Source organism: Homo sapiens, chromosome 6 (assembly GCF_000001405.40).
Source record: "Homo sapiens chromosome 6, GRCh38.p14 Primary Assembly".
Taxonomy (NCBI): Eukaryota; Metazoa; Chordata; class Mammalia; order Primates; family Hominidae; genus Homo; species Homo sapiens.
Genome location: NC_000006.12, coordinates 131,182,014 through 131,198,571, shown reverse-complemented (window position 1 = coordinate 131,198,571; position 16,558 = coordinate 131,182,014). Strand labels below are relative to the sequence as shown.

Sequence of the window (16,558 nt, the reverse complement as noted above, 5' to 3'; positions counted from 1 at the left end):
GAATAATTAACTCTGGACTGGTACTCTTTTAGTACCACCTAGGAAATCTTAGAAGCAAGGCCCAAAACAAACAAAAAAACAAACAAAAAACTATTTCCAAGTAACTTAATTGTGTACCAGAACAATGCCCAAGGATATTTATAGAAATACAAAACAATTCAGCATCCAACAAGGTAAACTTCACAATGCCTGGCATCTAATCAAAAACTACTAGGTGTGCAAACTAACTGGTCAATATGGCCCTCATTTTTGAAAAGATAAATCAATTAATCAAAAGTTACTCAGAACTGACATAGAGGTTAGAATTAGTAGATAGGACATCAAAATAGTTATTGTAACTGTATGTCCTATGTTCAAAATGTCAAGTAGATGTTGGGAGAAAAGCTGAGTGTTAGGAGAGAAGCTGAGGCAGGGCTTGCATGTCTGACATAATGTAAAAGAGTCTTGGAACATGTCCGGGGTCCAGGGTCTAAAACCCCTCGTGGCCTTTGGAATATGTCCAGACTTGCTGGCTCCTTGCTTCTAGCACTCCCATTATCTCAAGTAGTCATATGTTTCAAAGAAAATGCTAAACCATCACAGCTGTAACTCATTCGCTTGATACACCACTTCCTTTCAACCTCCACATCCTCACCACCTGTTTCTTTGTCTGATCACCAATAAATAGTGTGGGCTCCCACAGCTCGGGGCCTTCACAGCCTCCATACTAGCGTTGGTCCCCTGGTCCTACTTTCTCTCTTAACTTGTCTTTTCTCATTCCTTTGACTCCACCGGACTTCGTAGCCCCCACGGCCTGGTGTTGAGTCTGATCACCCCAACAAGTAGAGACATGGAAACTATTAAATCCAAATCCAAATCAAATTTATATACAGATGGAAACTGCAATGTCTGAGAAAAATTAACTGGATGGAAATAACAGGTGAGACACAGCAGAGCAAAATATTGGTAAATTTGAAAACAATGCAATAGAAGCCAAAATAAAACACACTAAGAAAAAGAAAACATAAAGAAAAAAGAACAGAGAATAGAATATCAGTAAGCTGTGGGGCAACTTCGAGTTGTCTAATATGTCTGTAACTGAAGTTCCTGAACAAGGGGGAAAGAGATGGAGTTAGAGAAAATATATGAAGAAATAATGGTGTTGCAGAATAAGAACTGCCACAACTACAATGGAAAATAATCTGGGTAGCAACTATTAAAATTTAGGCTATACAAGCATTTTGAGCCAGCAATTCCAATTCTAGGAAAATACGAAGAAATAAAAGCATCAGTATACGAAATTCTATGAAAAGATATTTATTAAAGCATTTCCTGAAGTTGCACAAACTGGAAACAACCTTCATCAATAAATAAATGGTTGATAAATAACCATATGACCACCATGAAGATAATAAAATTAATTAGAATTACACACACAGACATGAGAAGATGGCCATGATCCATTAAGCAAAAAGAGAGAACTTACATGGTTATTACATCTATAATATGATTCTCTGGAATATAAAAGAGAGAAAGAAAATAGATGATCTATATGTTTTTACTAACATGGAAAAATAGTATAGAATACTTTGGGATGTGGGTTGAAATTAAATAGAGGAGACCAGAGTTATAAATATAATACATATATATGGATAGAATTGTTAAAATGAGCATATATTACTTTTGAATAAAAAAATTAAAACATAAAATAAGCACAATAACAAATGCACTATACATTAACAATATAACATTGCTATGATTTCACAAGCATCAAATTAGAATGCACAAAGAGGAGGACAGAATCATTTGGCATACATGTGAAAAATTCATATTTTTTAAAGATCAAGGGTAAATAAATTTTCATGTGGTCTTTTTATCCAAAAACAGGTAGGGCTAATACTATTAAGCCAATTCTAAAGACAAGAAAACTGGAACATAGGAAGAACTCAGAATTTTATCAGATAAATTTAACAAAGATATTGAAATAATTAAAAAGAATCAAGCAGAAATTCTAGAGTTGAAAAATGCAGGCTGAGCACGGTGTCTCATGCCTGTAATCCCAACACTTTGGGAGGCTGAGGTGGGAGGATCACCTGAGGTCAGAAGTTCGAGACCAGCCTGGCCAACATGGTGAAACCTCGTCTCTATTAAAAATACAAAAATTAGCCAGGTGTGATGGCGTGCCTGTAATCCCAGCTATTCAGGAGGCAGAGGAAGGAAAATCGCTTAAACCTGGGAGGCGGAGGTTGCAGTGAGCTGAGATTGCACCATTGCACTCCTGCCTGAGTGACAGAGTGAGACTCCGTCTCAAAAAAAAAAAAAAAAGCAACTGACATGCTGAAGAATGCATTAGAATCTCTTAATAACAGGGCCAAACAGGCAGAAGAAAGAATTAGTAAGCTTGAGGACAGGCTATTTGAAAATACGCAGTCAGAGGAGACAAAAGAAAAAAGAATATAAAACAATGAAGCCCACCTACAAGACCTAGAAGATAGTCTCAAAGGGACAAATCTCAGAGTTATTGGCCTTAAAAAAAGGGAGAGAAAGCGGTAGGGGTAGAAAGTTTATTCAAAGGGATAATATCAGAGAATTTCCCAAACCTGGAGAAAGACGTCAATATTCAAGTACAAGAAGGTTATAGAACACCATGCAGATTTAATTCAAAGAAGACTACCTAAAGGCATTTAATAATCAAACGCCCAAAGGTCAAGAATAAAGAAAGGATCCTAAAAGCAGCAAGTAAAAAGAAGCAAATAACATACACTGGAGCTCCAATATGTCTGGCAGCAGACTTTTCAGAGGAAACTTTATAGGCCAGGAGAGAATATCATGACATATTTAAGATGCTGAAGGAAAAAAATCTTTTACCCTAGCATAGTATATCTGATAAAAATAGCCTTCAAACATGAAAGAGAAATAAAGACTTGCCCAGAGAAACAAAAGCTGAGGGATTTTACCAACACCAGACCTGTTCTATAAGAAATGCTAAAGAGAGTTTTTCAATCTGAAAATCTGAAAGAAAAGGACATTAATGAGCAATAAGAAATCATCTGAAGGTACAAAACTCACTAGAAATAATAGGCACAAAGAAAAATATGTACTATTGTAACACTGTAACGGTGGTGTATAGATTAGTCCTATCTTAGGAAGAAATATTAAACAATGAACCAATCAAAATAATAACTACCACAACTCTTCAAGACATAGTTCTATAAGACATAAAGAGAACAACAAAAAGTTAACAAGTGAGAAGACAAAGTTAAGGTGTAAAGTTTTTATTAGTTTTCTTTTTGCTTGTTTGTTTATTCAATCAGGGTTAAGTTGTCATCACTTTAAAATAATGAGTTATAATATTTGCAATCCTCAGGGTAACCTCAAAGCAAAAAATATACAATTGATACACAAAAAATAAAAACTGAGAAATTAAGTTATACCACCAAAGAAAATCACCCTCACTAAAAAAAAGGCAAGAAGAAAGGAGGAGGAGAGGACCACAAAACAAACAGAAAACAAATAACAAATGGCAAGAAGAAGTCCTTATCAATAATAACATTGAATGTAAACAGACTAAACTCTCCAATAAAAAGACACAGAGTGGCTCAATGGATTTAAAAAGACAAGATTCAATAATCTGTTGCCTGCAAGAAACACACTTCACCTATAAAGATGCACACAGACTGGGAAAAAAAGGATAGAAAAAAGAAATCCCATGCCAATGGGAACCAAAACAGAGCAGGAGTGCATATGATTCTATCAGAGAAAATACATTTCAAGACAAAAACTGTAAGAAGAGGCAAAGAAGGTCATTGTATAATGATTTAGGGATCAATTCAGCAACAGAAATAACAATTGTAAACATATTTACACCCAACATTGGAGTACCCAGATATACAAAGGAAATATTTTTAGAGCTAAAGGGAGAGACTCCAATACAATAATAGCTGCATACTTCCTGGATACTTCAACACCCCACTTTCAGCACTGGACATACCTTCCAGACAGAAATTCAAAAACGAAACCTCAGACTTAATCTGCACTATAGACCAAATGGACCTAATAGATATTTACAGAATGTTTCATCCAATGGCTGCAGAATACACATTCTTTTCCTCACATGAATCCTTCTCAAGAATAGACCATATGTTAGATCACAAAAAAAGTCTTAAAACATTCAAAAAACTAAAATTAATATCAAGCATCTTCTCTGCCCACAGTGGAAGAAAACTACAAGTCAATAATAAGAGGAATTTGGGGAACTATACAAATACATGGAAATTAAATAATATGCTCCTGAATAATCAATGGGCCAATTAAAAAGAAAACTGAAAAAATTATTGAAACAAATGATGATAGAGCTACAACATACCAACAAAATCCATGGGATAGAGCAAAAGCCATGCTAAGAGGGAATTTTATTGTTTTAAGTGCCTACATCAAAAAAAAGCAAAACTTTTAAATAGATAACCTAATGATGCATTCTAAAGAACTAGAAAAGCAAGAGCAAACCCAACCCAAAATTAGTAGAAGAGATAATAAATATCAGAGCAGAAATAAATGAAACTGAAACAAAATACAAAAAAATCAACAAAATGAAAAGCTGTTTTTTTGAAAAGATAAGCAAAATTGACAAACCTTTAGCCAGACTAAGAACAAAGATAGAAGAACCAAATATATAAAATAAGAGCTGATAAATGAGACATTACAACTGATGCCACAGAAATTCAAAGGATCATTAGTGGCTGCTACGAGTAACTATATGACAATAAATTGGAAAATCTAGGGGACACAAATAAATTCCTAGACACATACAATCTATGAAGATTGAACCATGAAGAAATCCAAAACCTGAACAGACCAATAACAAATGAGATAAACGTCATAATAAAACATCTCCCAGCAATGAAAAGCTTGGGACCTGATGTCTTCACTGCTGAATTCTACCAAACATTTAAAGAACTAATACCAATCCTATTGAAACTACTCCAAAAAATAGAGGGGAGGGAATACTTCCAAACTCATTCTACAAGACCAGTATTACCCTGATATCAAAACCAGACAAAGACACATCAAAGAAAGAAAACTACAGGCCAATATCTATGATAAACATTGATGCAAAAATCACTGAATTCAACAATACACTAAAAAGATCATTTATCATGACCAAATGAGATTTATTTCAGGGATGCAAGGATGGTTCAATATATACAAATAAATCAATGTGATACATCATATCAACAGAATGAAGAACAAAAACCATATGATCATTTCAATTGATTCTGAAAAAGCATCTGATAACATTCAACATCCCTTCATAAAAAACTCAAAGAACTGTGTATAGAAGGAACATACTTCAACATAATAAAAGCTATATACAATAGATCCACATCTCGTATCATACTGAATAAGGAAAAACTGAAAGCCTTTCCTCTTAACATCTGGAACATAACAAGGATACCCACTTTCACCACTGTTATTCAACACAATAGAAGTCCTAGCTAGAGCAATCAGACAACAGAAGAAATAAAGGGCATTCAAACTGAAAAAGAAGAAGTCAAATTATCCTTGTTTGCAGATGATATGATCTTACATTTTTTAAAAACCCAAAGACTCCACCAAAAACTATTAGAACTGGTGAAAAAAATTCAGTAAAGTTGCAGAATACGAAATCAACATACAAAAGTCAGTAGCATTTCTATATGACAATAGTGAACAACCTGAAAAAGAAATCCAAAAAGTAATCCTACTTACAACAGTCACAAACAAAATTAAACACCTAGGATTTAACCAAAGAAGCAAAAAATTTCTACAATGAACTCTATAAAACACTGATTAGATAAATTGAAGACAGCACCAAAAAAAATGTAAAGATATTCCATGTTCATGGATTGGAAGAATCAATGTTGTTAAAATGTCCAAACTACCCAAAGCAATCTACAGATTCCATGCAATCCCTATCAAAATTCCAACGACATTCTTCACAGAAATAGAAAAAACAATCCTAAAATTCACATGGAATCACAAAAGACCCGGAACAGCCAAAATTATCCTGAGAGAACAAAGCTGGAGGAATCATATTACTTAACTTCAAATTATACTACAGGGCTATAGTAACAAAAACAGCATGGCACTGGCATAAAAACAGACATATAGATCAATGGAGCAGAATAGAGAACCCAGAAACAAATCAATATATCTACAGTGAATTCATTTTCAACAAAGGTGCCAAGAGCATACAATGCAGAAAAGACAGCTTTTTCAATAAATGGGCTGGGAAAACTGGGTATCCACATGCAGAAGAATGAAACTAGACACCTATCTCTCACCACATACAAAAATCAAATCAAAATGGATTAAAGACTTAAATCTAGACCTCAAACTATGAAACTACTACAAGAAAACAGTGGAGAAACTCTCCAGGGCATTGGTCTGGGCAAAGATTTCTTGAGTTATATCTCACAAGCACAGGGAACCAAAGCAAAAATAAATAAATGAGATTACACCAAGCTTAAAAGCTTCTGGCTGGGCATGGTGGCTCACATCTGCAATCCCAGCACTTTGGGAGGCTGAGGTGGGCAAATTGCTTGAGCTCAGGAGTTTGAGACCAGCCTGGGCAACATGGATAGACCCCGTCTCTACAAAAAGATATGAAAATTAGCCAGGCATGGTGGTGCGCACCTGTAGCCCCAGCTACTTGGGAGGCTAAGCTGGGTGACAGAGTTGACCAAGTCTCAAAAAAAAAAAAAAAAACACCACGAGGACCAGAGGACCAGGCAGGCTGAAAGGCCATGAAGCCAAGGAGACAGGCACTGTCCAAAGTGCTGGTGGAGCCCAGGTCCAGTACCAGCACCCCAGTGAGCATTAGGTGCCAAACCACAGACAGCACACAAAGGGCCAAAACTGTTCCCACTGGCCTTGGACTGGTAGTAGCTGTCACTGATGACACACCTATCCCAAGGATGAATTCTGCATGGTCCTTTTCTTCTTCAAGTTGCTAGCTTCTGATTCAAAGTCTGCATCAGACCAAGATCATATTTTCCTTCCCTAGCAGCAAGGAAGTCTATGAAAGAATGTAACTAACACAAGAGATTGGTATAAAAAATTTAGATGCTGGGTAGCCAAAAAAAAAGAAAGACAAGTCCAGCATAAGCATGTTATGAAACAGTGAGAGTGTATTCCTAACAATTATCGTTGTAATTAACTTATCAACTTAGAGTTCATATAAATTACCAAAACTTCTCTTTTCTCAACTACCCTGTCATAACCCAACTTTGACCCTCTCTATTTTGGCATATTCACAACTGTTTTAAAAGAACCTCATGTTGAAATATTAGGCTGAATCATACAAAACTGTCACTTTTATGGGTCAAAAACAGTCAAATATTAGCGATGTCTTATGGTTTTACATATGTCATGATGGACTAACTTACTATGTTCCTAAGATTTGACTGATTAGAGCATAATTTCCAAGTCTTCGAATATTTGCAGAATTGTCCCATATAGGAGCTTCCAATAGCAATTTAGCAACACGTTTGTATCAACCCAGAAAACAAACAGCATAAAGGTGTGGAAGCACAAATTCATTTATTCAGTTACCTACTGAGCACTCCCTGTATGTGCCAAGCACAGTATCTGCTGAAGGCTGCACAAAAGAGACTCTAAAAGTTATTTTGGTCTCCTGGGAGGTTACAGTCTCATGGGACAGATTTCAGCACAAGAAGAAGAAGGACTTCCCAATCAACATCAAAAAAATCAAATTTGAATTTTTGAATTTATCAAAAAATTTGATGGATATAAGAAATGGACTTCTGTTAACAGAAAATTAAAACAGTGGGCATTTGTACTGTTCTTTACTACCTAATGTTTATTTATTATCTTATTTGCTATAACAATCTTAAATCAACTGAGTCTAAAGAAAACATTTTTCTCTTTTTTTCCTTTTTTTTTTTTCAAGACAGAATCTCGCTCCGTCACCCAGGCTGTATTGCAATGGTACAATCTCAGCTCACTGCAACCTCCACCACCTCCCAAGTTAAAGCAATACTTGTGCCTCAGCCACTTGAGTAGCTGGGATTACAGGCACGCACCACCATGCCTGGCTAATTTTTGTATTTTTAGTAGTTATGGGTTTTGTCATGTTGGCCAATCTGATCTTGCACTCCTGGCCTCAAGTGATCTGCCCGCCTTGGCTTCCCAACCAAAGTGCTGGGATTACAGTCATGAGCCACCGCGCCCAGCCAACACTTTTCAATTTATTGATTTCAGTTACCTCAGATTTTGACCCAACAGCTCTCATTATTCACTAGGTCTGAAGTATTTTATGATATTTATTCACAATACTGTTTTAAATAATATTTGTCACAAAGAACTTTTGATTTTTATTAATGTGCTTTTTCAATATAGTCCATAGGTACATAGAAGTGGGGAAAAAGAAAATGCCTTCTTTTTGAAAAGTACTTCTTAATACTGATTTTATATTCCTAACAGTAGTATAATCTATTGCTTAGGGTATTAGGTAATGGTTCGAGCAATGTCATATTTGGGATGAGAAAAGTTTTTACTAATATGAAACCTACATGTCATTTTTCATCTGTGTTAACAACTTACACAGAAGTTGGAAGTCCTGGAAGAGAAGCTTATGAATAATTGAGATTGCTTAATTCCTCCCAGTACCACAGGCATTCCTTCAAGCACTAAACCAAAAATCACAAAACACATACATCAGATATCCTTCAAAAAGTCAGGTAAGGGTGCCTCCTAAATAATATAACTTATAACTGAAGATGAAAATTGTCTGAAGAACAACTACTTAAAAATATATTTACATACAAGGACACTTTGCTATATAAAAGAATACTGAAATAAACAATTTAATAGAGAAACAACACATTTGTAACCCTAACAAATACAGCTTTATCTGTTTTTTAGGCTTTACATATTTTTTTCTATAGGAGATTTTCTTTAGGTGAACTCTTTAAAATATGTAGCAGCAATAAATTTACATAATAATCTTAAAATGCAAAGAAGTTGTTAAAAGTTGTCTCAAAGTAAACTGTAACAGATCAATTTTAACAAAGTCATGTTTCTACTTATATACCCTTTTTGCAAGATAAATATTTACCCCTTCTTTCCAAGCTTTTGCTATTTTCTCCCTTTCTCTAATATTGTTAAAGATGTTTATACGATCACATGATCTCCAATTTGAGAATAATCAAAAAGAGGTTTATTAATAAGAATAGTCTAGAATGCTAAAAGGAATTAAGTTCATTATATTACTAAACTTATACAGATAATCCTCAAACTACAAAGGTTCAATTTATGATTGTTTGATTTTACAATTGTGCAAAAGCAACATGTGTTCAGTAGAAACTGTACTTGTAAATTTTGAATTTTGGTCTTTTCCCAGATAGCAATATGCAGTATGATATTCTCTCTCAATGCCAGAAAGCAGCAGCGAGCTGCTCCCAGCCAGTCACAGGATCACAAGGGTAACAACAAACACTCTATAGTGTGTTGTGTTGCCAGATGATTTTTTTGCCCAGCTATAGGTTAATGTTAAGTGTTGTGGGCACATTCAAGGTAGGCTAGACTAAGCTATATTTTCAGGTAGGTTAAATGTATTCAATTCATTTTCAAGTTACAATAGGTTTATTAAGATGTAACTGCACCATAAGTCAAGTATCTCTATATATTATTTCAGTATGTGGATGTCACAAAAATGGCAAGTTCAATTTTTGATTTGGGGCTAGGCGAGGTGGCTCATGCCTATAATCCCAGTACTCTGGGAGGCCAAGGAGGGAGAATTGCCTGAGCCCAGGAATTTGAGACCAGCCTGGGCAACATGGTGAAACCCTGTCTCTACAAAAAAAAAAAAAAAAGAAGTACAAAAATCAGCCAGGTGTGATGGCCTATGCCTGTAGTCCCAGCTACTCAGGAGGATGAAATGGGAAGCTCACCTAAGCCCAGGGAGGTCAAGGCTGCAGTGAGCTGTGATGACACCACTGTACTCTAGCCTGGGTGACAGAGTGATACACGGTCTTAAAAAACAAAACAACAACAACAACAAAACTAATGTGTAATTAAACAATAGCAAGCATGAGTATTTTCCATGTCTTCCAATTGCAAGATACTTTCTACTACTATTGTAAGTTATGCTAAAATTGTGTCACATATAATACGAAAAATCTCAATAAAATTTTAAAATCACTTTTCGTCACCTGAAACTTTAAAGAAATAAAAGCCATAAAGCTGTTTTTGTTGTTCCTATAATATTACTATTAACATTTAAAGCATTCCTGTATCCACATACTGCTTAAACAGTTCCATTTTAGACAGTCTTAGCAAGTCACTTGAACTATGTTTCAATATAAAGGCTGACATAATGCTGAAACCAACTTCAATTTAAAAATTTTATAGTCCTCATCTTAAATAGATATTTCCAGTTGATTACTGTGTAAAACTGACAAGTAGAATTTTTAAGTGTCATTCTTAAAAGCACATCTTTAAAATACATCTTGATGCCAGAGGAATTCTACTCATTCTACCACAGTTGATAAAGAGAACCAGACTGAGCCTTCTAACTCCAACCCAGTTCTCCCATTATTTAGTTTGTGCTCCTAGACACATCACTTAACACTGATAGTAAAAGTGATGAGACCATAATAAATTGTCTCTCAGGTCCCTTCTTATCCTAACAACCAGCAAATCCAAGTGAACTGCCAGAGAGAGTTCTGGTACATCACCCTTAGGGGATTCTAGAACACCAGGACTGGGTTTAATTTTCATGCAAAGATTTAGACACAAATGTAAATGAGGGAAGAGAGACTACCTAAAGTTAAATGTTCTTTCAAGTAAACTTTTATGTGTACATCACACTTTTTTTTCATTGCTTTATGTATTAAAATATATTTATTGAATCTCTACTATGTGGCAGGAATTGAGGACACAAAGACGGAAGATTCCCTCAAAGACCTTTCAATTCTGGTTGGGAAAGTTAGATTTCTAAACAATTACACTAACTTGTTATAGTTTCTACAGTAGAGATATAGGGGATAAGAGGATAAAATGATCATTTCTACTTTGGAGAAAAAAGGCCTTTATTTTTAAAGTGACACTTGAAATAAGTCTCTATGAAAGGTCAGTGATACAATGTGAAAGGAAATTAAGAAAACAATTGCATCAACATTATAAATAAAATTATAAAATAATTAGGAATACAAAAATTTTAAAATACTTAGGAATAAACTTAACCAAGGAGGTGAAAGATGCATATTCTGAAAACTATGAAACATTGCTAAAAGAAATTAAAGAAAATACAAATAAATGAAAAGACATCCTGCCTGTTTTAATGAACCGAAGGACAACATATTGTTAAAATGCCAATACTGCTCAAAGCAATCTAATGATTTAATGTAACCCTATCAAAATCCCAATGGTATTTTCTGCAGAAATTTAAAAAAAATCCATCCTAAAATTCATATTGAACCTCAAGGATCTCTGAATAGCAAAACAATCTTGATAAAGAAGATCAAAGTTAGAGATTTTACACTTCTGATTTCAAAAGTTACTACAAATCTACAGTAATCAAGACGGTGTAATATATGCATAAAGACAAATATATAGGCTAATGAAATAGAATAGAAAGCTCAAAAATAAACCCTCACATATATGGTTGCTATGGTCTGAATGTTTGTGTCCCTCCAAAATTCTTACGTTGAGACCTAATCCCCAAGGTAAAGGTATTAAGAGGTGGGGCCTTTGGGAGCTGATTAGGTCACAAGAGGTCTGCCTTCATTAATGGGATTACTGTCCTTAAAAGAGATTTTGGGGTCCTAAATCACTTTTGTCTTTTGTCTTTGTCCCTTTTGCCCCTCCACCATGTGAGGATACAGTGTTCTCCCCTTCCACTAGGTGAGGATGCAGTAGCAAGGTGTCATCTGTGAAGCAGAGAGCCCTCTCCAAACACTAAATCTTCTGGTGACCTGATCTTGAACTTCCCATTTCCAAAACTGTGATGAATAAATTTCTGTTGTTTATAAATTACCCAGTCCAGGAATTTTGTTATAACAGCAGGAAGGTCAAATGGTTTCAACAACTGTGCCAAGATCATTCAATGAGAAAAGACAGTTGTATTACGCCATTTCTGCATTGCTATTTAAAAAAAAAATACCTGAGACTGGATAACTTATAAGAAAAGAGACTTTAATTGGCTCACAGTTCTGCAGGCTGTACAGGAAGCATAATGCCAGCATCTCCTTCTGGGGAGGCCTCAGGAAGCTTACAATCCATGGCAGAAGGCACAGGGGAGCGGGCATCTCACAGGGTGGGAGCAGGAATAAGAGAGAGAGGGGAAGGTCCCACACACTTTTAAATGACCAGATCTCACAAGAACTCACTCACTAGCATGAGGATGGTACCAAGAGGATGATGATCCAATCACCTCCCACAAGGCCCCACCTCCAACACTGGGGATTACATTTCAACATACAATTTGAGAAGGGATAACATACAAACTACATCAGCAGTCTTTCAACAAATGGTGCTAGGAAAACTGGATATCCACATGCAAAAGAATGAAGTTAGTCCCTTACACCTTACACCATATACAAAAATTAACTCGAAATGGATCAAAGATCTAAACATAAGAGTTAAAATTATAAGACTCTTAAGAAAAAACATAGAGGGAAAGGTTCAAGACATTAGATTTGGCAATGATTTCTTGAGTGTGACACCAAAGCACAGGCAACAAAAGTAAAAACAGATAAATTGGACTACATAAAAATTTAAAACTTTTGTGCATCATAGGATATAATAGAATGAAAAGGCCACCTATGGAGTGGGAGAAATATTTGCAAATCGTATATCTGATAAGAGATTAACATTCAGAATTTAAAGAACTCCTTCAAATCAACAACAAAAGACAACTTGGTTTAAAAATGGGCAAAAGGCTTGAATAGGATTTCTCCGTAGAAGAAACACAAACGGCAAAAAGCACAGGAAAAGATGTTCAACATCACTAATCATCAAGGAATTGCAAATCAAAACCACAAATGAAATACCACCTCATACCCATTAGAATGGCCATTACTGGAGGGAGAGAAGCAAGGAAAATGGCACCTGTGGTGGTGAATGCAATGAAGTTCCTTGGGAGCAGTACTACAAAGATGCCATGGAGCAGGGCCACAATTACAATGCCCACCTCTGTGCTGAGCACAGCATGTGCCTGCCTTTCTTGGCCTCACAGACTGGAGTAGCCCAGAACAATTATTACAGCTGGATGAAGAAGTAACCAGGTTCTAGGATTGGCCTCTGGACAACTACTCGTACCCTGCCCAGCACTGGCGGAAAAAGCGGTGAGCCCACCCCTGTGAAGATCCACAATTTTTCTTCCCACCTATTAAGCCAGACACAGACCCCACCCTGAAGAAGGAGGGGCTGATCTCTCAGGACAGCAGCAGTTTAGAGGTTCTGTTGCACACTGACCCCCTGGGGAAGCGAGGTACCCCAGATCCCCGAGTTGATGATGACAGCCTGGGCAAGTTTCCTGTGACAAACAGTCAAGCACGAAAGCGGATCCTAGAACCAGATGACTTCCTGGATGACCTCGATGATGAGTACTGTGAAGATGCTCCCAAGCATCGGGGAAAGGGGTAATCCAAGGGTAAAGGTGTGGCAGTGCCCATAAGGAGCTGGATGCTTCCAACCTGGAGGACCAGGATAAGCCCTATGCCTGTGACATTTGTGGAAAACGTTACAAGAACCGACCAGGCCTCAGTTACCACTATGCCCACTCTCACTTGGCTGAGGAGGGCGAGGACAAAGAAGACTCCCAACCACCCACTCCTGTTTCCCAGAGGTCTGAGGAACAGAAATCCAAAAAGGGTCCTGATGGATTTGCCTTGCCCAACAACTACTGTAACTTCTGCCTGGGGAACTCAAAGATTAACAAGAAGATGGGACAACCTGAGGAGGTGGTGTCCTGTTTCGACTGTGGCTGCTCAGGGCATCCATCTTGCCTCCATTTCACCCCCATGATGATGGGGCAGTGAAGACATACTGCTGGCAATGCATCGAGCACAAATGTTGCGATATCTGCGGCACCTCTGAAGATGATGACCAGCTGGGCTTTTGTGATGCTGCGATCATGGCTACGAAATGTACTGTCTCACTCCGTCCATATCTGAGCCCCCTGAAGGAAGTTGGAGGTGCCACCTGTGTCTGGACCTGTTGAAGGAGAAAGCTTCCATCTACCAGAACAAGAACTCCTCTTGATATAGCCACCCCCCTGCTCCCCGACATATCTAAGGCTGTTTCTCTCCTCCACTTCATTTTTCATACCCACCTTTCCCTTCCTCCTCCTCTCCTTCACAAGTCCAGAGAACCTTGGGGTGGTTGTTCTAGCCTGCCTTTGGCAGCCACAAGCTGATGTGGCAGCTCTGGCCACCTCTGGCCCTAGGCCCTCAAGGAGAAAGGAGCAACACACTGCCCCAAGGCATACCTGTGGGCCCAGTTTCTCTCTGCTCTCCATGAAATGCATTCATTCTGCTTGCCTTGGGCCCAGGCCCTGGTCATCACAGGGTTCAAACAGTGTCCTCCTAGAAAGAGTGGGAGAGCAGCTCACTTCTCTCTCTGTTCTGCCTCCACTCTGGTCTCCAGAGTTTTCCCATCCCCCAGAGGCGAGCCAGGCCAGAGCCTCTGCCCAAGGCAGCTGGTAGCGAGCAGCTGAGGCCACAGCCACAAGGAGCTTTCCATGCCCCTGTGTCACTTAGCCTCACCTCCTTCCTCCAGAGTGGCTCTCTGCAGCCCTCTGTTCCTGCTACGTAGGATTCTTTGCTGGAGTCAGGATGTTCTCGGTCACCCTCCTGGCTCTGCCCTGTCCCAGTCCACCCCACCCCAGGGGGAGCAGCAGCTTCACCTTGTGCTTCCCAGTGCTCTCCAGGCTCACTCTCATGGGCGGGCTCCAGTGACTAAAGCATTCCCCACCCTTGGAATGTCTCATCTTCTACCTCTCTTCTTATTCATTTTGGTTTTGTGGGGAGAGGGGAAGGATCAGGGGGCCAGGCCAGCAGCTCAAGGGCCACAGGGAGATGGGTAATGTGCCTGTTTTTTTAACACAACAAAAAAGCCTACCTCCAAAATCCCCTTTTTGTTCTTCCTGGACCTGGGCATTCAGCCTCCTGCCCTGAACTGAATTGGGAGCCTTGCCACCTGCCCTGTGTATCCTGGCTCTCAGCTCATGGGGAAGCCACACAGACATCCCTTTCTTCCCCTGCATGCTCGCTAGCAGCTGGTAAGGTCTTCACACTCTGATTCCTCAAGTTTTCTGCTTAGTGGCACTGACATTAAGTAGTGGGGGGCCAGTGCATGCCAGCATACCCTGGAGTAGCCTTCCCCCTTGGCCGCAGGCAGGCCCTAACTCACTGTCACTTTGAAGTTGTCTTTTTTTTCCTTTCGTTAGTTCCTGTATTCTAAACATCAGTAAACATAAACGTTTTTACACAGAGCCCTCTGCTGGATGGTTTATCTCCTGCCTCTCTCCATTAAGAAGGCCTTTTCATCCTAAGATTTCCATGACGGTGGTTTTTTTAAACATTTTGAAATACAGCTTTTTTTCCCCCAAAATTAAATTTTTTTTGTTGAACTCCAATATGTAAAGCGAATATAAAATTGGTTATTTTGCTAGTTTTAATTAGTTACATAAATTCAAGTTTACAACAATTCTTTGTTATAAAGAACGATGAAGCTGTTTTGATCAATACAAAATTTGGGTTAAAAAAAAAGGGCCATTATCAAAAAAATAGAAAATAACAAGTGTTGGAGCCCTAGTACACTGCTGGTGGGAATGTAAAATAGTCCAGCTGCTATAGAAAACATTAAGACAGTTCCTCAAAAAATTAAAAATTAAACTACCATATGATTTAGCAATTCCACTTCTGGTTACATATCCAAAAGATCTGAACTCAAGGTCTTGAAGAGATATTTATACATCCATGTTCATAGCTGCATTATTCACAATAGCCAAGAGTCCATCAACAAACCCATCAACAGATAACAAGATAAGCAAAATGTGGTATGTACATATACCACGGAATATTATAAAGCATTAAAAAGGAATAAAGTTCTGACATGATACAGCATGGATGAACCTTAAGGACGTTATGTTAAGTGAAATCAGCCAGTCACAAAAAGATAAATACTACATGATTTCACTTCTATGAGGCAGCTACACAGTCAAATTCATAGAGACAGAAAGTAGAATGGTGGTCGCCAGAAGCCAGGGGAAGGAGGGAGTGAGGATTTGTTTTTCATGGGTATGGAGTTTCCATTTTGCAAGAATAAAAAGATTCCGTAGATTGGTTGCACAATAATGTGAATATACTTAACACTACTGAACTATGTGTTTAAAAAAAGTTAAGATGGTAAATTTCATATTATATGTATTTTACTATAGTTAAAAATTATTTTTTTTTTCAGACGGACTCTTGCTCTGTCACCCAGGCTGGAGTACATTGGTGCCATCTCAGCTCACTACAACCGCTGCCTCTTGGGTTCATGCGATTCCCCTGCCTCAGCCTCCTGAGCA

General features: G+C 37.9%; 1 protein-coding gene and 1 pseudogene across 25 annotated transcripts in view; one reads left to right on the top strand and one right to left on the bottom strand.

Annotated features, from left to right (window-relative positions):
- The window catches only part of AKAP7 (A-kinase anchoring protein 7), a 157,906-nt gene that overhangs the window by 84,961 nt on the left and 56,387 nt on the right, over positions 1-16,558 (bottom strand). For 2 of the 25 annotated variants that reach the window (NR_170717.1, XR_001743754.3), the window contains 2 exons: positions 14,474-14,570; positions 13,939-14,199 (listed from right to left, as the gene is read on the bottom strand). The exons of 22 other annotated variants lie outside the window; for them this stretch is intronic. The gene's annotated coding sequence lies outside the window, so the exon portion shown is untranslated. The remainder of the gene's footprint in view (positions 1-13,938; positions 14,200-14,473; positions 14,571-16,558) is intronic. One more of the 25 variants, XR_001743755.3, reaches the window with a different exon arrangement.
- LOC100421246 (double PHD fingers 2 pseudogene) lies at positions 13,066-14,444 on the top strand (annotated as a pseudogene).